At 38.7% G+C, this 27836-nt stretch overlaps 1 protein-coding gene and 1 long non-coding RNA gene across 10 annotated transcripts in view, besides 3 other annotated features; both read right to left on the minus strand.

Annotated features, from left to right (window-relative positions):
• Positions 1 to 319: 319 nt before the first annotated feature.
• On the minus strand, positions 320 to 7335 carry LOC124901347 (uncharacterized). Its single transcript, XR_007059653.1, has 2 exons — positions 6899 to 7335; positions 320 to 839 (listed from the first exon to the last, which is right to left on the minus strand). It is a non-coding gene; the product is annotated as an uncharacterized LOC124901347 (long non-coding RNA).
• Positions 1125 to 1325: a silencer, noted in NCBI's record as "peak5913 fragment used in MPRA reporter construct". NCBI's record gives its function as "represses an SCP1 promoter by STARR-seq MPRAs in K562 erythroleukemia cells {active_cell/tissue: K562}" and the evidence as "EXISTENCE:reporter gene assay evidence [ECO:0000049][PMID:32103011]".
• HMGN3 (high mobility group nucleosomal binding domain 3) overlaps positions 21401 to 27836 on the minus strand; it is a 33438-nt gene continuing 27002 nt past the window's right edge. For 2 of the 9 annotated variants that reach the window (NM_001318885.2, NM_004242.4), the window contains 3 exons: positions 23736 to 23786; positions 22432 to 22545; positions 21401 to 21882 (listed from right to left, as the gene is read on the minus strand). In NM_001318885.2, coding sequence (NP_001305814.1) covers positions 21844 to 21882; positions 22432 to 22545; positions 23736 to 23786 — 204 coding nt within the window. In that variant the 3' untranslated portion in view covers positions 21401 to 21843. Of the gene's footprint in view, positions 22546 to 23735; positions 23787 to 27836 lie in introns of all 9 variants that reach the window. The other 7 variants (NM_001318886.2, NM_001201363.2, NM_001318884.2 and 4 more) reach the window with 7 other exon arrangements.
• Positions 26218 to 26719: an enhancer, noted in NCBI's record as "H3K27ac hESC enhancer chr6:79915779-79916280 (GRCh37/hg19 assembly coordinates)". NCBI's record gives its function as "activates a minimal SCP1, AML or CMV promoter by ChIP-STARR-seq in primed H9 embryonic stem cells {active_cell/tissue: H9 hESC(primed)}" and the evidence as "EXISTENCE:reporter gene assay evidence [ECO:0000049][PMID:30033119]".
• Positions 26720 to 27219: an enhancer, noted in NCBI's record as "H3K27ac hESC enhancer chr6:79916281-79916780 (GRCh37/hg19 assembly coordinates)". NCBI's record gives its function as "activates a minimal SCP1, AML or CMV promoter by ChIP-STARR-seq in naive H9 embryonic stem cells {active_cell/tissue: H9 hESC(naive)}" and the evidence as "EXISTENCE:reporter gene assay evidence [ECO:0000049][PMID:30033119]".

Here is a 27836-nt window from a genome sequence, read left to right on the forward strand (position 1 = left end):
AATTTATCCCATTTATATTAATCTAAGACATTAAATTACTATTATTTAAAGTTCCCAGATAGCATGAGATAATCAGTTATCAATCATTATCCTTTTAGACAATCAATTATTGTACTAAATTGATGTTATCTCAGTCAAAAAACAGAGACTTGGCATTTTAGTGAGCTCATACAGCTTCAAGTTAAATGTGCCATTTCTGCAAGGTTTTCTGATATAATGAATATAACACACAGTTTCCCATCATTACCTCTGAGGCCAGTGAAGGGCCTGGAGATAGGACCTGAGGTTGCAAATCCCTGTTTCAAATTACAGAAGAGTGTAACAGGCACTTAGCTTTATTGTTTTCAATTACATAAAGTAACAAGGACTAATTTCCAAAGCATTGGCATAAAATGTCCCCAGGGGATTTGGTTTAATGAACAGCTAAAAGTGATCTACAATGAACATATTTGCTATTGTACATAAATGGTGCTTTTAAAGAGCTTTAGTTTTTTTTCTTAGGGAGGGAAATCTGGTTTAGCCTGTTCGTGTGTTGTAATACACAGAAGGAGAACCTTGCATTGCATTCTGTCCCAGTGGTTCCCAGTGGTGCACCGAAGAGCAAGCATAAATCGTCTTTCTCCCTGATGTCTTTTTACCCAGCTTGCACCCATCTCAGGTAGAAGAAGAGAGCTGATCCTGATGGCCTGGTTTCAGCATTTGGAAGGGATTACTTTTTCCAGGGTGGAACTGTCTAAGGCATTTACACATCCAGCAATTACAGGTAGGGTCCCTTTTCTCTGACTCCATCTTAGTTCTTTTTTTCCATCTCCAACAGTGTCCAGGTTCATTGCTCTGACCTGCGAAACAGAAGCAAGGCAAAGGAAATGGCAACACTTCGATTAATTTTGAAAAAAAGAGATGATGTTGATGAGGAAATGGTAGGAAAAATGCCATGAGATGAAGGCTATCCAGAGAGTAACACTCTTTTGTATGCTCCTTTACAAATCTAACTTGGTCTGCCCCTGCCGGCGGGCTAGGTCTACTGGACCCAGGTTTGCATTTGCTAAGAAGATCTGTAGCAGAAGGTCCAGGTCAGCTAACTCGTCTAACAAAGAGTCCCAGACCTCAGTGGCTTAATTTGATACAAATATATTGCTTCCTCACATCACAGTCAATGTGGTTGGCAGTCACGCAGGAGGAGTTCAGGTTTCTTCTATCTTTTGACACCACCATTGACAGCACAAATCCTAGTTGTCACAGAATGAGTGGCCAGGCATAGAAGTCATGTATATCACTGCCACACATCTTCCATTAGTCAGAACTCACATAGCCTGAGCCTAATTGCCAAGGGGCCCAGGAGGAAAGTAAATGGGCTTGGTAAACACTAGGCAGTGTCTCTGCCACACCAGGTCTGGGCTAGGGGATGAGAAATATTTCTATTCCTCTCTGAAGGCCTGATTTTGGTGTCTTTGGAAGGGACTCATTGTCACATTTAATAGTAAATTCTGAGATTTGCCTTTCAATTTAGTGAATAGTAGGGGTTCACTTGAAGTTGAATTGCTGAATATTCCTGATTCTCCATCAAAACATCGTCTCAAATAGCATCTAATAGTACCTGAATCAACAGTTGGAGATTCTGAAAAAGTGAAATTCAAAAGCTTTGCTGGATCCTCTCTAAGTAGATTTTATTTAGTGTTGTAAAGGTCAATAAGAGTGCAGTAGTGTACTAGAGCTTTGGCTCTTTCCTGATTTACACTGTTGAAATGTTTTTTATCACTGAAAAAGATTTCACCTTAAGCAAAAAAAAATGCTACTGGGATTTTCATTTAACCTGTGTGTGCACAGGACACACTGGACTTTCAGGAGTGAAGCCCAGTTGTTAAGAACATGGGTTCTTTGAAGACTGTCTTAGTGTGACCTTGAGCAATTTCCTTTTTTGTTTGTTTGTTTGTTTGTTTGTTTGAGACAGTGTCTTGCTGTGTTGTCCGGCTGGAGTGCTGTGGTGCGATCTCAGCTCACTGCAACCTCCTCCTCCTGGGTTCAAAGGATTCTCATGCTTCCGTTCTGGAGTAGCTGGGATTTACAGGTACACACTACCATGCCTGGCCAAGTTTTGTATTTTTTGTGGAGATGGTGTTTTACCATGTTGCCGAGGCTGGTCTCGAACTCCTGACCTCAAGTGATCCTCCCACCTTGGCCTCCCAAAGTGCTGGGATTACAGGCGTGAGCCACCACACCTGGCTGAGCCATTTACTTAATCCTCTGTGTCTCAGTTACCCTATCTATCAAACTGAAGGGTGAGGAATAAGGATGATAATAATAGTACTTACCTGGAATAAAGTGGATTGCCTTGCTTATCCTATATTCCACCTCCCTCCAGGGGTCCTTCCCCTCCTGCGGAGGTTGAAAAGCTAATATCTGCATTTCTCAAACCCCTTGGCACGTAGGGATTTGGATGTTAGGTCAGTCTCGTCATTTAGATTGGCTTGTTTGAAATTTGGAAGGCAGATGTGGAGGCCATTCTCTCACCTCACTTGGCCATTTTTCTGCTGGAACGCTAGATCTTGGAGGTGTGAGGCTACATCTGCAGCAGGGGTCCAGTGTCCTTTTCCCAGCTTCTTTGGTGCCAAAGGCAGGGGTAGTGGTGGGATCTGCAGCAGCTTCTCAAATCTAGATTCCTGCTCTGGGATGCATTCTTGAATTTACTAGCTCTCAGTGACCTTGAAAGTAGTAGCTTTCCTAGTGGGAGAGTTCTGTATTTCTCTGATAATTACTTTTGGAGGCCCAGCCTAGAACCTATTCCTTCAGCCTTTCCAACAACTTTGTAAACATCTAACTCCTTGTATTGAATCCCAGCTTGCATAAAGTGGTTTCATTTTTTCTGTAATGAATCCTGACAAAATCAGTATCTCATAGTGTTATTGTGAGAATGAAATAATATATGTAAAACACTAAAACCTGGCATGTAGTATTAAATACGTGAGTTTTACTATTATGTACACATATGACCAAGAATGTGAAAGGAACTGTTACAGGATTGTCCAAAGAGTTCCATTTTAAAAGATGAATCTAGCTCTAGCAATATGGCTACCCAGCAGCAAATAAAGTGGAGATTTAGTTATACAAGGTTAATTTGCCCACATTCCCTTTCACATGCTAATTAAGAAAAAGCTGTTCGGCCCTCTGCTGACCCCATTACTTTGACAATTGCCATTTCACCTGGTCCTAAAAGGGCGCAACCTCAAATTACTCTTTAGCTCTTGGGACTCTATGAGAACATTGTGGATAAAGATGAAAATGCACCAAGAACAGAAATATCTTATTAAAACCCTCTTTTTAAAAATCAATTTATTTAATTTCAGGAGCCAGCTAAAGATGAATAACTGTCTATTCTAAAAAAAGTGCTAATATAAAAGAAGAAAATTTTAAACAAAATTGTATTTGGTCACTTTGAAACTTCCTTTATTCAAGATTTTAAAAGCCTAATTTAACATTCATTATTTCATCCTGAAATCCATTCAGTCTGCCTTTCTTATAAATTACCTTTTCAATGCATGCTTTGTATCAAAGCCACAGAATCGTTTCCTTTTGTGGTTCCTTTTATTGAGCTGATATTTTGAATCCAAAGTGACCATTACTTGCCAGGCATGAGGAATTTTCAACAACTCAATATCATTAATGAAATTTGGGTGGCTGTTTTTGGGGATGGCAGATGTTTGTTATGAATGATGATGATGATATTTTTGACAAAAGAGAGACTATGTAACTAGCTTTTTCTGGAAATAATTCAGTTTCGTATTTACATCCTTGTATGACTTAATAAGCATCTTCTATCGTCAAAGAAGGATTGCTGGATACCACAAAGAAGAAAGGTGTGAATACACTTTAGAACCAGGTAGACTCTAATGAGATTCTAGCTACAACTTAAATAGCAATTTTTGGCAAAAATTATTCCCAAATCTCATTTGTAAAATAAGAGTAATCATAGTTTCTCCTTGGATTTTTTTTTTATGATCACTAAGGGAAACATGTATATAAAATACTTAAGAGAGTGCTTGGCCCATAGGAAATCTGTGGAACTACTCCTGACTACAAGCAAGTTGCTTTAGTTTTCTCACTAAAACTTCTTTGCAGAATATTAAGATAACTTTGTTTCAAGACCTAGTAAATGCTTCTAAGTATTATTCTGACTGTTATTACTATTCTTTACAATTAGTCAACTCTCTTTGAACCAGAATATTTCACTGACAGAGTACTCCTAAAATATGACAGATGACAATGGGTTACTGTATTTTTCATAAGTCACTCAATAGTTCTAAAAAATAATAGGTTAAAAATAATAAAAGCTGGAATAAAAATGGCTACAGACCTAAATGCCACAGAATCAGTTCATGAATTTCTATTGTTGTATGAAAAAAAAAGAATTTTTTTTCCAGTTGAGCACCTGTTTATTTCAATCACCAGAGCACGGGAGACTATATCTGAAAACTTTGCTTCTGAGCTCAGCATCTAAACCTACTCCACAGATGGTTTTTATGCTACTTCTAGACAGGAAATACAAACTGTTCACAGAAGTATTAAATATTCTTATAGTCATTATTGGGAACGTTTTATGTTTACAAATGTGACTTCAATTATAACCATGTAGGGCTTTAAAAAGCCAAAGGCATAGGGCCATTGTGCCACTGACATTTTCTACAATGATCATTTGTAGATCCCCATGAGTGTATTTTCATCTGCCTGTGCAAAGATGCTGAGAGTTGTTGAGAGTTCTAAGTATTCTGTTAGTTTTGAGTTACCAAAGCCAAGACCCCTGCCCTGGTCCAAGGAACTGACTGGGTCTTGGAAGTTGAGGAGGGAGTTTCCTTCTAAGTACCCAATGCCTCTTGTCCTTCTAAGGCACGATCCACACAAACCCAGGGAATAAGGACCCTGATCTCCCATAGCCATCACTGGCCATCTGACTTACCTTTCACTTTACCTTAACCTGTTGTTCTGTAACCAGACTCCTCAGTGCTCTGTCAGATAAACGGCAATCAAATGTGATTGCCAAAGTTCTACCTGCTGTTGTCAGTACTGAGGTTTATGACAGTGGTATATCTGACTGCTACTCTGAATGACCTGGAATTACCACATTTGGGGCTCTGTCCTTCAAAATCAGAGTATTTGACCCCAGATATTACAACATAAAAATTAGGTGTAGGTAACGAGTAAAATCCTCCTTTTGTGGAAAAAAATTGTGGTTTTTCCTTCTTTGACATCCCCTAATTTGTAAAAATTTTTAGAGACAGGGTCTTGTTCTGTCACCCAGTCTGGAGTGCAGTGGCACGTACCATCATAGCTCACTGCAGCCTCAAACTCCTGGACTCAAGTTATCCTCCCACCTTAGCATCCCAAGTAGCTAGGACTACAGACATGTGTCACCATGCCCAGCTAATTATTTTATTTTTTGTAGAGATAGGGTCTCACTATGTTGCCCAGCCTGATCTGGAACACCTGGACTCAAGTGATCTTCCTGCCTTGGTCTCCCAAAATGCTAGGATCACAGCCTGAGCCACTGTGCCTGAGCCGTCCCCCAATTTTAAAAATACTTTATGGGGGTATAATTTACATACCATAAAATATACTCATTTTAAATGTGTAATTCAATTACTTTTTGTAAATTTACCCAGATTTGCAACTATCACCAAAATTCAGTTTTAGAACATTTTGGATTGTTCATTGCTAGTATACTGAAATACAATTGATTTTTGTATATTGACTTTGTGTACTGCAATTTTGCCAAACTTTTCAAAAGTAGTTCTAACAGTTTTTTTTTCTATGTGTGTGTTCCTCAGGATTTTCTAAATACAAATTCCTGTTTTCTGTGAATAAAGACAATTTGCTTCTCCCCTAATTTTTAACAGATTTCAAATCCAGTCCGTTTCTGAGAAGGAGATATTGGGAGGAGATGCTGATCTTGGCCATACAGCCCTTGCAGGGTGTCTGTCTGGCAAATCTGGAACCAGGAACCAGGAACCTATTTCTTGTTTTCAGGAATAGGACCTCTCTTTGGAGTTATTTATTTTCTTATAACTGTAGTTATAATTACATGTATATTTTTATATATTTATAACTGATATTTAGCACAGTTAATGAGAGTGTTTTCCTTCTTAGGTTAAAAAAGAAAAGAAATGCAAGACTGGTAATTCAAATGCTTTTGGGTGGCATTTATGGACACAACTATACATATGTACCGGAATTTCTACTAGGTGTTCATTGCCATTGCTTCTTACTCAGCTGAGAAACGAAAGAATTACTCACCCCTCACAAAAAAAATTGTCTCCTTTATTTTCCTTTTTTCTGCGGAATTTGTCAATAGCACTTGATTTGACATCTTCATAAACTCCCTTCGACTTCATATCCATGACCCATTTATTGCTAAATTCTATTCCTTCTCTCTTATCATATTGACACAAAGGGCTTAACTTTTTAAATTATTCTTCTTTCTCTCCTTGGCCACCTGAAAAGCCAAAGCTATTTTCTCCATTGTTAAAGCTATTTAATATTCTTCCAGATAAAATATCAATCTACACATTTACCATTCCTCATCTTGATTAATGTAAACTTCTCCTGTTGGCCTTACTTATAAATCACTTTCACTGCCAAAAATTTCAATTTCATTGCCAAAAATTATTTTCCATCTTTGTTCTTGTAAGAGCATATCTTTACCAGACTCTTCTTTTGTTAACTGCATTCCCCCTTAGGATTTCCATTATATTATGAATCTTGTTTGTCTTCTATGTGTTCTGCTTCCTGTCATCTTGGCTAATGTTTTAACTTTGAGGACTTTAGTCTCTGCGCAGCTATCCTTTTGAAATGTAACTCCTCTACCCATTTCAGAGAGTAGCACTCATACATCCACACGTTGACCAACCTGGGGGTTTGGAAGTCAGGAAATGTGTTCTGTTTTAGTCATCTGTGTGCCCCCAGCACTTAGCACAGGCCTCTGCTTAAAGTTGTCTCTTCACGTTCCCTGATGACTGAGCATCTTCTAGGCGCCTGATGCCCTGCTGCACTCTGGGGACAGAAAAAGGAATTAGAAGCTGTCCAGGGCTTTGATGAGCTCACACTCTAACTTCGAGGATTGTGAAAAGAGCAACTTATTATTCATTGTGATGAAGGCTATGATGGAGGCACAGACAAATGGCTGTGAAAACATAAGGAAAAGACCTGCCCAGGGGTGAAAATTTCATGAAGAAGGTGCCACTGGAACAGGACCTGGAGGGAGTTTTTACCAGAATCGAGACTCTAAGCAAAATGGTTCCATAGCTGTTGAAGTAAAAATGAAAACAAAACAAAACAAAACAAAAAAACCAGTATATTAGTAGCAAATATTCTGGGCTCCAGTTCCATCTTTGCTATTTTCTAGTCATGTGGTCTTGGGCACAACATTTATCTGTGTTCTGATTTCCTTATCTTTTAAATGGGAATGATATGACAACATACCTGTCAACAATTCTGTGAGGATCACATGAAATTATACATGTGCAAATCTAAAACATTATATGAAAATAGCTTAATTTCAATATATGCTATAATATGGTATGAAAGTTTGTATTCCCTATTGGGAAGCCAATCGATAGTATTTGTGGTTAAAAGTTATTTTTATAATATACATTAACATATATAATATAAAATTATTAAAAATTATGATTAAAAAATCAATAACTGAGAAGAGAAAAGCATATTATTTGGAATTTTGGAAGCAAGACACTAGGGGAATACCTGAAAGTGTTTGCTTTTGGGGAGTGAGCTTTGGAGGGCAAGTGTGTAGTAGGCAGGTACTTATGTATCACTTGACTTTTAAAACATTTGGCTTTAAAAAAGGTAAAAGTAAATAAAAAAGAGTGGAGATCCATCGAGAAGGGAGTTTATTTGTGACCTGGAATCCCTTGTTCCATCATACCCCCAAAGAAGAGCACAGATCCTGCCCCTTGAAGCCTGACCTTGTACCCAGATGCTCACTCTGACTTCAGGATGGGAGATTACTGAAGTTCTAGAGCAGTAGGTCCTAATGAGGGATGTACTGTGCCCTCAGGGAAAGTTTTCATCTTCTGGGGAGTCATTATTAATTGTCACAGTGACAAGGGATGGTGAGGTAGGTGAGGGGCTCTGGAGTGGGTCACTGGCATCTCCTGGACAGGAACTAGGGATGCTAGACATCTCGCAAGGTGTGAACAGGTCCACACAGTGTAGGATTGCCCTGATTCTCTCATGACTTTCACATATCCTACTGTACATTCATGTAGTTAAAAAGAAGTCACCTTGTTTAAAAGTATCCAAGCCTAGAATCTACTGTGTTTTAATATATTCACATTGAATTTTCTGAAATTTTCTTGCAGTTTTAAACATGTTTAGTTTAGATCTTTAATAAGTATTGTGTGCACCATTTCAGAAAATCATATCGCCAATAGTAACACCATTTGTAGACTTTGAGACTCCAGTGCAACTGTAGCTGTTGCATCACAGTGATTCCAAGCATACGTAGCAACATATTTATTCTCTATTTCAAAGTTTCAAGTATAAAGGAAGCATGTTGATAATCCACTGAGTAGGTTTTATTTTTCTCAGGTTGTGCATCTGTCTCTTCCATTATGTCTTCTTGTGAAGTCATGCCTAAACATCTACATATTAAAATATACAGTTTATTATAAATTACTTAAAAATTCCTATTCATTTTACAGCTAGAGCAGTATGTGTTGATTTTGAAATTATGCCTGTAGATAGGTTATATTATCTATGAACTTTATTTCAAGATAGTAAAAGAGTTTTGAACAAATATTTATTACATAAGGCAGTAAGTCTGGCAGGGCTTGAGTATAGTTATTTTAGGAAGTCCTGGAAGTTCTTTTTTGTATTTGACCTGGATCCCTACTGTCACTGTTTAGGGCCATTTTCAATTCAGTCACCTTCCCCCTCCCTTTAGAGATGGAAAAGAGCTACTCAGAATCACCTTAAATTTTTCTTTCTCTTTTTAAGTCCAAAGGTGTCAATGATGTAATATTGCCCACTAGGTTTGGCATAGCAAAGCCTTTTCTGGTTATAAATATAATTTTGCATGGTTCACAGTTCAAAATCCACATTTTTTTTTTCTTTTTTTCTTTTTTTTTTTTTTTTTTTTTTGTGGAATCAGCTGCAGGATGGCAGGAGTTTTTCTGCAGTCTTTCAGTGAAGCCTCTCTGGAGCTTCCCCGACTGGTTATGTAGAACTGGTCCTGCTTCCTGATCTGTGGGGGCCCCATGTGCCTCTACCCCAGAGCTAGGGCCCGCTCTGCATTCTACCCTTCACACTGCTAATTCACCAAGCTAATTAGGCTGGTTAAGGGTCTGTAAAGGCAGAAATCTGTTGGAGTTTAGTCTCATTCATTTCTTTCAGAGGAACTTGCAAGGAAGCTCCTGTCAGCTTTTGGAACGGGAACAGAATCTCAAAGGCTTGGCATGAGAAATAGCTGAAGGTGCCAACCTTCCAGGCCAAAGATTCTAGTCACAAAGAGTCTCAATTCAACTTTTTCCCTTGAGGCAAACTTCAAAGTATGCAGGAATCAAAAACTCATATAATGAAAATAAACCAAGGGATAACACACTTAGCTAAGACTTGCTGGAAACACATTTCTCCCACTGTACCTCAATTCTCTCTGCCTCCAGAAAGACCTCATGGTACTTAATTACTTGCAAGGAGGACAGAGCAGGTTTTCTGATGTTCACTTTATTCCAGTTGCGCCAGTTTTATTAAATAAAGTTATGTAGCTTACCACTAGCCAGGCACTGTTCTAAGCACTTTAAAAATGTTAATTCATGTAATCCTCATAACAACCCTAGGAGATAGGCACTTTTATTATTCTTATTTTACAGATGAAGAAACATGTACACATTGTCTATTTTTCTTTGCTGGTAGGTGTTTTTCTTCTTTCCTTTTTTTTTTTTCCTTACATAAGGTTTTAGGACAATGCATAATTTTCTTGTAGAACTTTTTTTTAATGATTGAACAAAATCACAAAATGACTAGAGCAAAGCATAATCTCAAAACACGACGTTTAGAGTTGTGAGTTTTTTGTTCTAGTGAAATATGAGCTACTTAAGGAATTCCATAGAAGGGCATAAACTAAAACCTCTTAGAGATTCATTTGACCATTAGGCCTAATTTAGAAGAATAATACAGCACCAGAGGTTTTAATCTCTTGAATTTCTCATGTTTTATGTGCTCTTGGCATTGCCTAATTTTTTCCCCACTAGTGAACCTCTAGGCTTTTGGGGGGTGGCAAGAGAAGAATAGCATCCTTACAACCTGTGTAAGGCTATTGTTCACACACCAATGCACATATTAAAAGAGCAAATGTCCAACTATGGTCATTCACACTTTGCTTGCACCTATATAGTACCATTTATGTGCAAGCTTTTGTGACAATTTGATTTAATGAATATCCAGCTAGTTGGTTTAAAAAACTATCATAGTTCTAGCAAAGTCTTGAGACTTGTGGTCTGTTAAAATTAGAACCCTCCTGCTGGAGCATTTTGGATTTTGAAAAAGAAAAGTATATGGCATCTTCACTTATTAGATAAATCTTCCATAATATAATTTCCTTAGGGTATTGCAATTCTTACCACCCCTATTTTGGAATTCTGAAGCACATGCCATTTAGATTTGGATTATTTTCAACTATCAATTAGTGGGGAGAGGTGGGACTACTCACCCCTTTAAAGCATTTTTCCATGCCACTGAAATTTTACAGGAAGCTTGGTATTAACTGGAATGTTCAGAGAATGTGGATGTCTGGCTACTTGGATAAGCAAAGAGTTAATGAGAAAGCCCGTTCTGTTAGAATTCTTAGCCTTCTTTGTAAAACTAATTAGCCCACCTAATGGCCTTAGAAAACAAAGTATGTAGTACTAAACATCACTGATTCTTTCTTTTAGAGAACAAGGTATTGGTATGCCTGAGGGTCCTCATTCAGGAGGACCATTATTGCTCTACAGAACTGTAGTTAGAGAACAGAGAGGACAGGACTCAACCTTCATTGCTTCCTGGACTTACCTACTCTGGAATTCTTTTCACTTGTATCTCTAAGTTTTTTTTTTCCTTTCTTTCTTTTTTTTAATCAACAAGATGCACAGGCTCTGGAGCAGCTTGCCAGGGTTTAAATTCTAGTTCTACCATTTACTCATTGCATGATGTTGAACAAGTTAATTCCCTGTTCCTGAGTTTCCTCATCTGTAAAACAGGCAAAATAGTAACACCTACAACAACCCATTACTACTCATGTTATGAATATTAAATATTCACACTAAAGCACTAAGGAGAATGTCTGTGTCTGAAATTAGGCAAACTGCAAAGTCTAATGGGACAGTCTCCAAGACTGTCCTCACTTCTGACACTAACTGCAAGCCTAGGGTGGGTCTCTAAAACCATGCCTAGTTTTGATAATCCACTGAAAGAGCTAACAGAACTTACTGAAAGCCATTACACTGATAACTGTTACAGTTTACTACAGGATACTCCTTAGAACCAGCCAAAGGAAGAGACACATAGGGCCAAATCTAGGAGGGCTCCAAACACAAGGCTTCCATTATCCGCAGGATTTTCTACTCTCCTGGTCTCAATGTGCAACAATACACATGTAATATTGCCAACCTGGGATGCTCACCTTAGCTTCAGTGTCCAGAGTATTTATTGGAGCTTCATTATGTAGGCATGAATGATTGTTTGCCCATGTGGTTAAACTCAGTTTCTAGTCTCTCCCCTCACTCTCCAATGTCACGCTAACACCACATGGCTCAAGGGCCACACCATGGGTAACCTTGTTAGCATAAACTACCAGGAGTTGTCTAGCCCACCATGAATAACAAGACGTTTCTTTCACTTGGAAAATTCTAAGAGTTTAAAGGTTACCTCCCAGAAGCCAGGGACAAGGACCAGACCTCTCTTTGGGTCAGGCCAATTTCTTTATTACGCAGGGTAAGCATTCTCCTAATGTTTATGATTATAATAGTAATTGCCCTCTTTCTCTTATAAGAAGATCAAAGAAAAACATTTTTTCCCACTTCTCTTTTTATTATAAAAATGTACAAACATACAGAAAAAAACATTGTAAGAAACACCAATATAACCACCACACATTTTGCCATATGTATCTATCTAGATGAATATGAGTATACATATGTATGCATATATAATAGGTATATTATGTATGGGTAATATTTTTGGTAAATCATTTGAAAATCAGTTGCAGCTATCACAACCATTTATCCCTCAACACTTCAGCACACATTTCCTGTGAATAACTACAAAACCACTATTATAACTTATAAAACTAACAGTAATTTCCTAATATGTAATATCCAGACTATATTCTAATTAAAGATAAAATATGAGTTAATTGAGGGATCCAGTTAGTTGCCAGACTCCTTTTCCCCAGACACATGCTCATCCTGTATCTCCCCCATGGAAGAATCTAGGGTGGCTTCATGTTTCTTGCTGTTCAAGTCCAAACACTGGTGGCTGACTTTCAAAGCTTTCTATGATCTTGTGGGTCTTTTGTGCATTGCCTATGTTCCCACGTACATTTACGTAACATTTCCAGAGTGCCTACTGTGTGCCAGGCATGGTGCTGATTGCTTTGTGTTCACAGTCTCGGTTCCTACTGCCTCATTCCATCAACCTTCTGCTCAGACATGGTGTCTCCTTATCTTTCTGCAAAAACTGTGTGCATTGATTGTCGAGAGGGGTTATTTTGTCCTCTCAGCCTTTAGAGTTTCCTAGTTCAGTAGTCTTCAAATTGTGTCCCATGGATTCAGTTGATGAACCCCAGGAGTGGCCTTGAGGTTGAGGTGATGGCCAAGAGGTTGGGTCATAGTGTCCCTATAGCTTCCCCTACTACCACTGAGAAAGAATTGTTAGTATTCTACCACTTTTAAAAAAATGATTTTACAAACCATTAATCTAATCCAACCAAATCCTTTTACAGAACAGTGAATCAATTTGCTCACATATCCAAAACTTGGGTTTGGGGAGAAGAACCTACTTCAGGGATATTTGAGTACCCATGCTTACCTTTAGCCTTTGGAAAGGTTGTCCCCTTGTCTGAACAGCCACTCAAACTCCTCTCAGATCCACTCTTATCTCCTTAAAGCATTGGCAACATCTACCCTTTCTTTATCATTAAATCTCCCAACAAGCTGCCCAAGGTGGTATCTTTCTCTGCTCTCCTAAAGCATTTTTAGTCTGAACTGCATACATTTAACATTTAATTCTGTGCTCTGGAAAATATTTTTTCTTTTTTTGTGTGTTTTAGTTTTCTCTCCCTTCAAGGTCAATGGTACTTTGAACTCGGGAGAACGACTTCCACTTTTTAGTCCACCAAACAAATAAACATTTACCGAATAATTACTGTGTACCAGGCACTGGTTGAGGTGCTTTGAAGAACATAAGGATGAATAACTCCTTGCTTCCAGATGCTCAAATTCTATTTGTGAAAAGAGACAAGGAAATAATGTTCTACAGTGTGAATGAAGTAAGTACAAAATATAGGTCAAGAAAAGTGCTGTGAAAATGCAAGAGGAAATGCAACTCATTATAACAGAAAAGATCAATAAAGTTTCCATTTGTTTCTATCCATCACGGGGCACCCTGTAGACAAGTGCTGTTGATTAACAGAGGGTTTTACTCCATCTCAGTTTTGATGAATTAGTATTCAACTTTGCTGGGAAAAAAATCCAGAAGTAGATATGGCCAAAGGCCTGTTTTGCCTTACAAGAACAAAGCCAAAAATTAAATCTCTTTTTGGGGTTGTGATTACTCTTGCAACACAGGGCTCAGAACATAGTAACTGCTTAACACTTGCTTGTTAAAAGCAGCTTGTGGTGCTTTGTACTTACCAGTTTTTAAGAGTACCATTCATTATCAATTTCCTACATTGAATTCCATTAAAGAGCAAAAGCATATTTTAAAATCACCTTATTCCGATTCGATCCTACCTTCAGGAGATTTCAAAAATTTCTCAGGAGAAAAAGCAATTCTTTTGGAATTCAAAGGAGACTCAGCTCCAAGAATAAAACTACATCAGATAATTATTAAGGTCAAGCCCAGGCCTACGATTCCCAACTCTGAGGCTACCTTCCTCTTATCATTTATTCCCCAAAACTATTTTACCTTAAATTCAAATTCCATAGGCAATTTGTGTGACATTCTAGGGTTTTCTAGTACAAAAATATATTAGTGGAAGAGCCACAAGAAATACTCAAGACAAATTATTTCCTGGAAGTACAACTAAACATTAATTACGCCAAACCCAAATTGTCATTTTTGGCAGGCACTCTCTGGCAACCAGATGAATAATACTTTTAAGATGTTATTCATTAAGTTAACGTATTTAATTTCTTGTGGGTTTGTTTATGGCTAACATCTGTTAAAGTCATGGAGATATAGTTCCCAAAATGAAATCCATTAGAGAAACTACATTAAAGGTGTACCATGAAAGAGGTTAGGATTCCATAATGGCTCTGGTAAATGTATGTTTATTTGTGTTACTATGTAATTAATGTTGGCTTCCCCACCCACTATACTCTAAGCACCATAAGAGCAGTGAAACTAACCTTTTCACTACTGCTTCCCTAGTGCCTTGCAAAATGCCTGATACCTAGGTGTTCAATATATTTTTGCTAAATTGATGAACTTGGAAGATAGACTTTGGCGCACTCCTGGATTACTCTTTGCCTAGTAAAATATACTTCTTGGAGATCAGGATGAACTCACAGAAGACACACTAATCAAATTTGCAGAGGTGGGAACAGCTAGGGAAAGTGTAGGTTGAGCCGTAGGAAAATGCTGTTTTTGCAGGTCCAAATGAGAAGAGAAGATAAACCTTTCTTTTGGTTCAACCTAATGTGACCATTTTGAATATTCCTGCTCCTTTTTCTCAACCATCTGAATTTATAAGACTCATTTAAATGCATCACACTTTTAAAAGACATCGGCCGGGTGCAGTGGCTCATGCCTGTAATCCCAGCACTTTGGGAAGCCGAGGCGGGCGGATCACGAAGTCAAGAAATCGAGACCATCCTGGCCAACATGGTGAAACCCCGTCTCTACTAAAAATACAAAAATTAGCTGGGCGTGGTGGCATGCGCCGATAGTCCCAGCTACTCGGGAGGCTAAGGCAGGAGAATTGCTTGAACCCAGGAGGCAGAGGTTGCAGTGAGCTGAGATCGTGCCACTGCACTCCAGCCTGGCGAACGAGTGAGACTCCACATCAAAAAAAATAAAATAAAATAAAATAAAAAAAGACATTTATGTCCTATGACCATAATCTGGCAGGGTAAGAGAAACAGAGTTGTTTTAGACAGGATGCGATAGACATCTTTAGATATTTGAGCAGCTTTGGGGGAAGGATCAAATTAGCTTATATGTGCCTGATCCTAGTTTAACTGGAATCAATAATTGGAAGCTACAAGGAGACAGTTCTTAACTCAGCAATAAGGATGAACTTTCTTTCAGAGCTGTTTGGATGATACTTCTTCAAACCGGATGTATTTAATCAGTCTGAGTAACTCTTTGCTTGATCCTATTGTAAAGAGAAATCTAAGCCACATCAGGGAGAGACTAGATGACCTCAGAGGCTCTTCTCAGCTTTAGAGTTTATGACTTGGCTTCAAGGAACCCAGTGAGACCCATTAATGTAGGTCCAGGTGTATTTATCTCTAAGGGGATATTCTGTATTCAGTTGTTAAATATTATATGATTTAAAAAGAAAGGTATAACAGATCATGGTATAATTTTTCTACAAAAGTGAACTTGGGTCTAGATTAAAAATAAATGTGTATACACAAGGTGAACAAGTACTATCACAAGAATAGGACCACAACCAACAGAAATATTTTCTTAAATTTGTGGTATTAGTGTTTCAAAAGGCTTTAAATCCAAACTAAATTAGATAAAGATTAATTTTTGCATTAATTCCAAGGAATACTTGCCAGAACCATGGTTTATATGTTTGGGCTACACCAAACATATAGCGTCCAATTAGCTTCAGTTGGAGATGGATATAGCAGTGCTAACAACCCTGAGCTTGGTCATTTCCTGTCCATAAAAGACCAAATTCAGTTCAACAAGTATTTACTGAGTCTATTTAATTTGTCATGTCCTAGAGGCACAAGGGAGAATGAGACAATGCAACCACTCCTCAAGGAACTAATGTGCTCCAAGTTTTGGCTAGAAATATTAATACTCCTGTATTGGTCCATTCTCCTGCTGCTAATAAAGACATACATGAACCTGGGCAATTTATAAAGAAAAAGAGGTTTAATGGTCTCACAGTTTCACAAGGCTGGGAAGGCCTCATGATCATGGTGGAAGCCAAAGGAGGAACAAAGGCACATCTTATATGATGGCAGGCAAGAGAAGTCAGAAGCGAAGGTGGGGGGAAAGCCCCTTATAAAACCATCAGATCTCATGAGAACTAATTCACCAACATGAGAACAGGATGGGGGAAACTGCCCCCATGATTGAATTATCTCTACCTGGTCCCTCCCACGACACTTGGGAATTATGGGAACTACAATTCAAGGTAAGATTTGGGTGGGGACACAGACAAACCACATCACTCCCTGAACACTTAATTTGTGCCATTTAACACTTCTAAACACCTTATAAAGTAAGTACCATTTTTAATCCATTTCTAAATAAAAATACTAAAATATAAATAACTGAGTAAATGCTTGTGGTCATATAGCTGGTGAGTAGCCAAGACAAGTTTGGCTTCAGTGTTCACAAGCTTAAGCATTATAATATATTGCCTTCTAAGAGAAGCACAATTCCTTTGCATTGTTCAAGGGATACCCACTGCCTCTGACAAAAAATGTGGTACATACTCATCAGAAGATGGCTACATAGCCCGTTTGTATTCATCCAATGAGTTCAACTGATATTTGTGGAAAACCTACTGTATTTTAGATACTGCACCAGGTGATTTCACAGTGACTATCTCATTCAATCTTAACAGCTTTGTCAAACAGATACTATCTTTATTTTACAGAGAAAACTGAGAGCTAGAACTTAAATGACCTGTCTGGGTTCACACAATTTTTGAGAAATAGTGCTGGGATTTAAGCTCAGGCCTCCTAAGTCCTGTGCTCTCAGTAGGCTTATAAAAGTCATTTTTTAAAAGAAGACAAGTCAGTAGTTGTTAGTATATTTACAAAGTTGTGCAAGCATTACCACTATTTAATTCCAGGACATTACAAAAGACACCCTCCACCCTTTAGTAGCCACTTCCCTTTCCTTCCTCCCCTGTCCCCTGGCAACCAATAATCTAGTTTGTGTCTCTATGGATTTGCCTATTCCAGATATTTCATATATGTGGCCTTTTATGTCTGGCTTCTTTTACTTAGCATTTTGTTTCCAAGGTTTATCTGTGTGGTAACATGTATCAATATTTCATTCCTATTTATGGCTATTCCATTTTATGGACATATTATATTTGTTTACTCATCAGTTGATGAACATCTGGATTAGTTTCCACTTTTTCGTTGTTACCAATAATGCTACTATGAACATTCATGTGCAAGTTTTTGTGTGAACATATGCTTTCAGTTCTCTTGGGTATGTACCTAGGAGTGGAATTGCTGGATCATATGATAACTGTCTTAACTTTTGAGGAGCAGCCAAACTCTTTTCTAAAGAGGCTTCCCATTTTACAGTACCACCAGCAGTGAATGAAGGCTCAAATCTCTCTGTATCTTCTCAGTACTATTTTTCCTTTAAAATTATTGTAATAGCCATCCCAGTGGGTATAAAGTGATTCTTCATGGTGGTTTTCAGTTGCAATTCCCTACTAATGATGTTGACTGTCCTCTCATATTTCATGTGCTTATTGGTCATTTGCATCCATTTTTGGAGCGATGTCTATTGAAATCTTTTGTTTTTTTTTTCTTTGAGATTGAGTTTTGCTCCTGTCGCCCAGGCTGAAGTGCAATGGCATGATCTCAGCTCACTACAACTTCCACCTCCTGAGCTCAAGCAATTCTCCTGCCTCAGCCTCCCTAGTAGCTGGGACTACAGTCATGTGCCACCACACCTGGCTAATTTTGTATTTTTAGTAGAGACAGGGTTTCACTATGTTGGCCAGGCTAATCTCGAACTCCTGACCTCAGGTGATCTGCCCTCGGCCTCCCAAAGTGCTAGGATGACAGATGTGAGCCACCATGCCCAGCCTAAATTACTTATTTTTAATTTGGTTTCTTGTGCTTTTGATGTCATACCTAAGAAATCATTGCCTAATTTAAAGTCATGAAGATATACATGTAAATATAATTTTAAAATTGGGCTTTCAAAGACTTTCTCTTCTCACATGAGGGAAGAGATGCATAATCACAAAGTTCCCTTTATGGCTTTAAGTGAGCCTAAGTCTCTATTTGGTGTTGTAAAATTGGGCTTATTTTCACTAGGGGATAGGAACATTACATTTAAATAAATAATTAAACATTTTCTCCTAAATTAAAATTATTTATGTAAAGTGCTTCTTACAGGACCTTATACACATTCTGGCTATTATTATCCTAATCATTATAACCATCCTAAGATTTTAAATCAATATTCTGCATAAAATAATAAATAGAAAATAATAAAAGTTTGGCATTCATGGTAAAGGGAAAAACATTCAAAAAAGAGACGCATTAGCATGTGATAGCTGAGCTGAGACAGCTTCTCTAAGCCCATTATTTTTGGTCAACCTAAGGGATAGCATTTGTACCTCTAACCAACAGTGATGTCCCCTAAAATTTGGGGATAGAAACCTTCATTTCATACCTGTTTCCAACTTCTTAATTATGTAAACATACATTTAAGATTTTATGGGATGGTTCACCTATTGTTTGACCATTGTATCTTGACTTTTGGTTCAGATTAGCTTTTCACAGAACTTATAATTGGGGATTCCAGGGCCACATGCCCACTCTTGCTGCACCAGAATCCATGGGGTAGCCTCCAGAAAGAATTTTAAGTGTGCAGTAAATTTTAAGTGTACAAATAGTGCAACCCAATTACGGGGGTACCATCTGACTCAAAGTGATTGTAGATTCATAGGGCTTTTATGATTCTCCAGCAAATTAGCAGACAAGTGTCTTAGAGAAGAAGAACCTTTTTCTAATTTTCTATAAATTCACCAAAGGGGTAGCAGTGGGGCAGTGCATGGAGAGTCCCACAGCTTCCATGTAGTTGAAGGTAGTGTGTCCTTATCTTTGGCAGTATATTCATCAAGTCTTCAAGTTCTGGGGGACCAATTTAGGGATCCTGGGTTATTTTGGGTAGCTGTGGTCTCTATGATACCTGCTCGGTTTTTCAATGTGGCCACGATAATATCCATATATTGTACTTAAGTAGACACCAATAGCCTACAGAACCCCTGATCTTTGTGTGTTTGATGCTATTACTGATAGCAATAATAGTAATAATTGATGCTATTAATAGTAATAGCATCAATGGTTATTATGAGCAACAATGATTTAAAACACACTGACTCCCCAACAGAAAAAGACAAAATCAGAATTCACAGAAGAAATCCAAATGACCATTAAACAGAAAAAGTTTAATTTTACTAATAATAGAATACATTTAAAATTAAAAGTGAGGCATATTTTCATTTATTAGACTGACCAAAATGAGTGCTGGCAAAGGTGGAAAGAGATGGTATTCAAATGTTGGTGATGGAAGGGGAAATTGGTACATCCTTTTTGGAGGCAGTCAAAATGTCAAATGTATATTCCCTTTGATTCAGACATTCTGCTTCTGGGAAGTTATTTAGTTGAGCAGAAGAAATACATAGGTAGAAAAACTTTGTATATAAGCATGTTTACTGCAGTATCATTGACAGCACTGTAATATTAGAAATGATCTATTTCTCCAACTACAGATTGAATAAATTCAAAATAGGATACTGATTCATTCTCTTTTAAAAATTATATATATACATATATATGTGTGTGTGTACATAACCCTAACACACACACACATACACACACATGAGAAAGAGAAAATAGAGAAAATAGTGTGCAGTGATTATCTCTGGGATGTAGGAATGGGAGGAAAAAAGATTTTGACTTTTTGCTTTATGTATTATTGTAGTATTTGGTCTTCTAAAAAAAAATCACTGGGATCACTTATATAATTTTTTAAAAAGTAAACCTAGGGAATTTATGATTCACTTCTGGAATGGAAACTAGCCAGCAATATACTTCAACTGAGTACTAACTGTATACTGAAAATATTTTTGTGAAGAGTTCATTGGATACTAGATATTTTTCTTTGCAGTAAAGCAGTTTTTAGCATGTCCAAAACTCATGAATTAAAGTATGTTTCATACTCAGAAGCCAGGTAAACTATGAACAAGATTATTCTGTATATAACATGGTTGATATATGCAGTCAACTAATGACAGACTTGGGACAATGAGGCAAGTTTAAGTTCTTAGGCCCAAAATATAATCTGGAGGAGGAACTTTGTTTTTGTTCATAAGCACAATACAAAAGCATCTAAGGCCCAAAGGAACAACAGCTTCTTTGCAGGAGTCCCTGAGCAGCACAGGCACCACCTGCCATCTTAAAAGATTCAAGTCTTCATTTAAGACAAATGCCCAGAATTCAGCTTTCCTGGAGTGCTTATGCAGTTACCAAACTTCTCAGGTTGCAAACAACAACGAAAAATTATATGTATAAAATAACTCCTCTGTTCCTGGCACTGCTATGTCCTTTCATAGACATAAAGACACTGTTTAAAATTCAAGACTCCAGCCTGGATTTTCTCCTTCCAGTAAGTCAAATACACTCCACATCCCTATTTCTTATCCTAGAAAGGAGCTCTAATAATACCCATGCCAACTCCATTCTCAAACTGATGCAAGGCTGAAACATGCTCATGTTGGGTAAAGCACTTTCAAAGCTGTGAAGTTCTCAACTGAATGCGAAGGATTTTGTACAAATGTGACTTAGTATTTATCATTTCAAAAGTGGGAGATTTTCAAAGTTGAGCCTTAGTTTATGTTTTTTTTTTTTTTTTTTTTTTTTTTTTTTTTTTACTAGCTTTGATTTAGCAGCACTATATCCTATTTATAAGGATTTTTAAAAATTAGTGCTTTATAAAGTTTTATTATACAGTAATCATTGCTGGCCACTTCTGGTATAAAGTGAATTAGATGTAATTCTTCTACATTAGCATTCATAGATGATTTTATTAAAATAGTAACAATGTTAAAGGCCAGAAAATTAAGAAACAATCTTATTTGACTTATTGGAGATACCGCTATGGCAAGGTCTATCAAAATTCTTTATATCTTCTGCAACAATAAAATGAAACACTCCCAAAATGCAGTAAAGATACTAAGAGTCAGGTATTCTGCAGACAAGTAAACCTTTTATTTTAAACCACAAATAGTCAGCAGGTGGCCACAACTATCCATGTTTCATTAAAATCACATAAAACCTAGGTACAAAAGCACCACTGATTATTGCTCTAGAAAAACTGCATGAAAAATTCAAATATGCACAGTAAAAACACCACAGTATGCACAGGACTAAATTTTAAAGCAAGTGCATGGAATGCTGAATCAATCTTACACACAGCTTCCAATATTTAACTGATATTTATTTTACTTGAGGATGATGTAAATTTCCAAAAAGCATGACTATGAGACGATAAAATGTCCATCCTTATATATTTTCGTATGCCAACTAGTAGAGTCCTAAAAAATTAGCATTTACAAAATACTTGGTAAAAATAGCTTTTAAAAGTTGTCCCAAGAGATACATAAAATCAACCCCAATTTTTCATGACAATTCATTCTCCCTCGTTATCTACAGATTCAGTTTTCTGTGCCTGTGAAAAAGAAAGGAAAAAAAAACATATAGTTACTACTGAAACTACTATAAGCAAAGGAAATTCCACCCACCAACACACACAGTTTTGAACATTTGTTTTCTTTTTTTTTTCCAGCTTTACTGCAAAACCTATTTCAACTCTGAGTGAAGAAGACAAGGCAGGAATATATTACACAAACACTTTGTTTCATTTATTGCTTTCTGCTTTTCAAACCACCACAGAAGCCTTACCTGCAAGCTCCCACTCTTCATAATGATTAAAAAAAAAAACCACCACACTACTATCTGATTCTAGTCACTGCAAACATGCAGAATTTTCTACTGTACCCTTAACTCTCACTGTTTCAATCTGCCCCTTTACTGACAGTGTGCTGGGTGGGGTGCCTCTGGAGGTTGAGACATTAACAGTTGAGCGAGAGATGTGGATCTGCAATAACATTACAGGCAATAAAAAGAGACATTAAGAACGTGCTATCACCGGCTGAAGGATTGAGAAATTTCTTTAAAGACACTGATTCAATCAGTGGGAGGTATTTATGGAAAGTACCTCTTCAGCTTTAGTTTCACCATTTTCAGATGGTGCAGTACCTTCCTTTCCAGCTTCCTGCTTTTCCTCCTTCTTCCCTTTAGCACCTCTGCTAATCTTTGCTCCAGGTTCTTTCTAACAGAGGATCAAAGCACAGTGAAAGAGAATGTTAGACACGGTGTGATGATGGCTAAAATCAATCAGCCTCTGTCCAAACACAAGGTGAAGTACAACCGTTACCATCATGGTGGCCTTTATGGAGACACGGGAGCCTAATTTTGCTGGGTTTCAACTGAGTTACACTGCACAAATATGAGTCTCTGTGAAAATGTAGTAACAGGTTGCACAGAAAGTCCAGTGTACTTTCTCTTCTGTGGAAAACACAATGATTCCTCTCCTGGATTTGTTCAGTGGACCTCCCCTCCAGTAAGGGGAGAAGTGGTTCTGCCATGGAGAGAGCAGCTGCAGGACTTGGGGAAGGAGGAAGCAGAGCTGGGGAAGAACCCAGCCAGGGGGTGGCTCTGTGGCTGCTTTCCAATGAACCCCTCACGTGGAGACATGTGGCTTGCATGACTAGAAAGCTGGGAAGGTGCAGGGAAATGAAGCCCAGATGAAGAAAAGTTCCTAATTTTAAGACCAAACAACAAAAGTGAGTTCTGTTTCTGAAATCACCTACTCATGCCACTATACACATAAGTTTTAAACAATTCACATGGGACAATACCAAAGGGCAGAGTGCAGAAAAGCCATTTTGGGTAAGTTCCCTAAGAATTCTGTACCTCAGTTTCCTCATCTGCAAAACAGGATATTTGTATCTACTTCAACAGAGTTGATGTGAAGGTCATATGAGTAAAGCAATCAACCTTATCTGCCATACTATAAGGGCCTTATAAATGCCAATATTACCTGCTGGCATTATTATATTATTATTATTAGACCTCAGACTGGCCTGCGAAATCCAGTTAGATGAAGTCAGAAGCCCCTTCCCAAATTCCTCCCATAGTGGGGCAGTGCTGCCAGGGCCCAAACTCATCCCCGCTGTGTGCCGCATGAACCGCATGTTCACGAGGCTGCTGCCAAACCCCCTTCGGACATGAGGCTTCTCAGAGCAACATCTCTGACTTCCCGTGCCTCACTGACCAAATGGAAAACACACTCCTATTAACGCAGAAAACTGTGCTTTATGCCTTTAAGCAAGCCCGTAACAGTGGTAATGGTTTCAGTTTGGATCATTAAATACGGCCTTTCTTTGAATGATTCTGAGGTAGGGAATTATAATTTATTCATTGTTTAAAAAGCCAAAAGTGGGAAACAGCACTTCTTACCTTAGCAGATGTTTTTCTTGGTTTGGGTTCAGGTTTTGGTGGAGCAGGTTTCTGCAAAGATAATTTAAATTACACAAATACTGAAAAAAAAAAAAAACTATCAGCACCAAAAGAAACACAAAAGGACTAACAAAGACAACTATCCATTTTGACATGGCTTTGGTCATTAAAAAGTATTTCATCCTATTTTCAGCACCAGGTAACAGCATAAAGATCTCTGCATTTCATAACTATTTTCACCCTGGGTTCACAAGGGAACTGCAGGTGAGATTGAAAAGCCGACTCCTTATTCCCTGGTCCAGAATAGCTCTCCGGGAACAGGTCTAAGCTTCTATCTCCAATGTGTCTGCTCTTCCTTTTATCACAGCACAGCAGCAAGAGGAATGACTCAGGCCCATGGCCAAAGGACTCAATGAATTCAGTTGCACTGGCCTTCCTAACAGTCTAGAAATCACAGCACAATCACTAGCAAAGCCCAACTGGTAATGAAGACTGCTGCCTGTGAAGTATTTCAAAATCACTTCCAAATCCTTCCACTTCTAATGTAGATTTCGAGTTCTGTTGCCAAGCTTCTTCCTACTTTTATTCTCCCCAATGCCAGCTCAAGGTGAGAATCTCTTGTCTAACCAGATATGCTGGGCTCATTTGTGTCTAAAGGTTTTTATTGAGAACATCATTATAATGATAAAATGTCTACTGTTAGCTCCCAAAGTTTAAATTTTTCACAGATATTATTAGCCAAACAGTCCCCTAGGAAACTATTTTTCTCTTGCCTCATGTGGTCCTCCTCCAGTTCCCATGAGCAGCACCTGCACACCGTGTGACCATGGACCCTCTGCCACACAATGCTTCAGCCCTGGCCAGCTTCCCAGGGGCCTGAGACCAGGTGGCACATGCGGATAACTGGGGAAAGATAACCATTTTACACCAGGAGTTTTCTGTGGATATTTTAGGGCAAATATTTCTCTCATAGAACTAGAAAAAAGTGTACATCTCTCCTGGCACTAGAAGAATGGTTTTAAAATAGAAAACACTGGCCAGGGTCTCCCCCTATGGAGAAAAATACATGTTCCTCCCTAGTGCCTCTAGGTAATTCACGTTCACACTGAATCTGCCCCTTTTCATCAAGGGCATAAAGTGAAATTGTAGACAGTTTGATTTCAGAAGATTGGCTGTTAGAAATGACCTTTCAAATAAAAAAAGAAAATCGAGCTTGAAAAGTTAAGAAATGTTTTTATTAATCTTCTTATCACCCTAAATCTGCAGGCCAAATACAGCAGCTTTCATGGCTCTTACATTTTCAGAATTTAAAACATTTTGTCATCCTAAGCTTTGATATACTGTATTAATATACATGTTTTCTCCATTTACAGTAAACAATTTCCTTTTATATTATTTTCTGTAGGACAGACCTTTCCCTCTGACCCAGCATTCAAGTGTTTTGATAGGACCAGGAAATGAGGTTTTGTAGTCTGTAATCCTGCTGGCCTCTGAGGAGGCTCTGTTTCGGTAGCACAGGGAATGATCTCAGTGGAAGGTGCTTATATTGCTGGTTTCTGGTGCTCAGGAAAAGCTTTGTTTTAAACTTTGGTTTTCATTTGACTTACAAGGTCTGTTCCCTTAACTGCCTGGAGATTCACAACAGCAACCCCAGCTCTTAAGTCCTCCTAGTGACTGACACCTCTTCCTAATATGGTTTAGCTGTGTCCCCACTCAAATCTCATCTTGAATTGTAACTCCTACAACTCCCATGTGTCATGTGAGGAACCCAGTGGGAGGTGATTGAATTATGGGGGTGGGTCTTTCCTGCACTGTTCTCATGATTAGTGAATGAGTCTCATGAGATCTGATGGTTTTAATAACAGGAGTTTCCCCGCACAAGCGCTCTCTCTCTTTGCCTGCCACCATCCACGTAAGACATAATTTGCTCCTTTTGTCTTTCTCCATGATTGTGAGCCTTCCCCAGCCACATGGAACTGTAAGTCCAATTAAACCTTTTTCTTTTGTAAATTGTCCAGTCTTGGGTATGTCTTTATCAGCAGCGTGAAAATGGACTAATACAGTAAATTGGTACCAGAAGAGTGGGGCACTGCTGAAAGATAATGAAAATGTGGAAGTGACTTTAGAACTGGGTAACAGACAGAGGTTGGAACAGTTTGGAGCGCTCAGAAGAAGACAAGAAAATGTGGGAAAGTTTGGAACTTCCTAGAGACTTGCTGAATGACTGTGACCTTTCCTAAAGATTTGTTGAATGGCTTTAACTAAAATGCTTATAATGATATTGACAATGAAATCCAGGCAGAGGTGGTCTCAGATAGAGATGAGGAACTTGTTAAGAACTGGAGCAAAGGTGACTCTTGTTACGTTTTAGCAAAGAGACTGGCAACATTTTGCCCCTGGTCTAGAGATTTGTGGAACTTTGAATTTGAGAGAGATGATTTAGGGTATCTGGTGGAAAAAATTTCAAAGCAGAAAAGCATTCAAGAGGTGACTTGGGTGCTGTTAAAGGCAATCAGTTTTAAAAGGGAAACAGAGCAGAAAAGTTTAGAAAATTTGCAGCCTGGCAATGCGAAAGAAAAGAAAATCCCATTTTCTGAGCTGAGGAGAAATTCAATCCGGCTGCAGAAATTTGCATGAGTAATGAGGAGCCAAATGTTATGCACAAGACAATGGGAAAAATGTCTCCAGGGCACGTGACAGACCTTTGCAGCAGCCTCTCCCATTACAGGCCCAGAGTTTAGGAGGAAAAAATGGCTTCGTGGGCCTGACCCAGGGTCCCTCTGCTCTGTGCAGTCTAGGGACTTGGTGCCCTGTCTCCCAGCCGCTCCAGCTGTGACTAAAAGGGGCTAAGGTACAGGGGCTATTGCTTCAGTGTGTGGAAGCCCCAAGCTTTGGCAGCTTCCATGTGGTGTTGAGCCTGCGAGTGTGCAGAAGTGAAGAAATGAGGTTTGGGAACCTCTGCGTAGATTTCAGAAGACGTATGGAAACAACTGGATGCCCAGGCAGACGTTGTTGCAGAGGCAGGGTCCTCATGGATAACCTCTGCTAGGGCAGTGCAGAAGGGCAATGTGGGGTTGAAGCCCTCACACAGAGTCCCTACTGGGGAACTGCCTAGTGGAGCTGTGAGAAGAGGGCCACTGCCCTCCAGACCCCAGAATGGTAGATTCACTGTCAGTTTGCACCGTGTGCCTGGAAAAGCTGCAGCCATTCAATGCCAGCCTGTGAAAGCAGCCAGGAGGGAAGCTGTATCCTGAAAAGCCACAGGGGCGGAGTTACCCAAGACCATGGAAACCCACGTCCTGCATCAGCGTGACCTGGATGCAAGAAAAGGAGTCAAAGATCATTTTGGAGCTTTAAGATTTGACTGCTCTGCTGGATTTCGGACTTGCATGAGGCCTGTAGCCCCTATGTTTTGGCCAATTTCTCCCATTTGGAATGGATGTATTTACCCAATATCTGTATCCCCATTTTACCCAAGAAGTAACTAACTTGCTTTTGATTTTACAGGCTCACAAGTGGAAGGGAATTGCCTTATCTCAGATGAGACTTTGGACTTTTGAGTTAATGCTGAAATGAATTAAGATTTGGGGGACTGTTGGGAAGGCATGATTGGTTTTGAAATGTGAGGACATGAGATTTGGGCGGGGCTGGGGGCAGAATGATATGGTTTGGCTATGTCCCCACCCAAATGTCATCTTGAATTATAACTCCCACAGTTCCCATGTGTCATGGGAGGAACCTGGTGGGATGTGATTGAATTATGGGGCGGGTCTTTCCTGTGCTGTTCTTGTGAAAGTGAATGAGTCTGGTGAGATCTGATGGTTTTAAAAATGGGAGTTTCCCTGCAGAAGCTCTCTCTCTGCCTGCTGCCATCCACATAAGATGTGACTTGCTCCTCGTCTTCCACCATGATTGTGAGGCTTCCCCAGCCACATGGAACTATAAGTCCAATTAAACCTCCTTCTTTTGTAAAATGCCCAGTCTTGAGTATGTCTTTATCAGCAGTGAGTGTGAAAACAGACTAATATACTTCCTTACGAGACTCACGTGAAACACTGGCTTGCCTGATCCAAACAGCTGTATTTCTGAACTTGTGAGTGG

The sequence above is a fragment of the Homo sapiens genome, chromosome 6, assembly GCF_000001405.40.
Source record: "Homo sapiens chromosome 6, GRCh38.p14 Primary Assembly".
Classification (NCBI taxonomy): domain Eukaryota; kingdom Metazoa; phylum Chordata; class Mammalia; order Primates; family Hominidae; genus Homo; species Homo sapiens.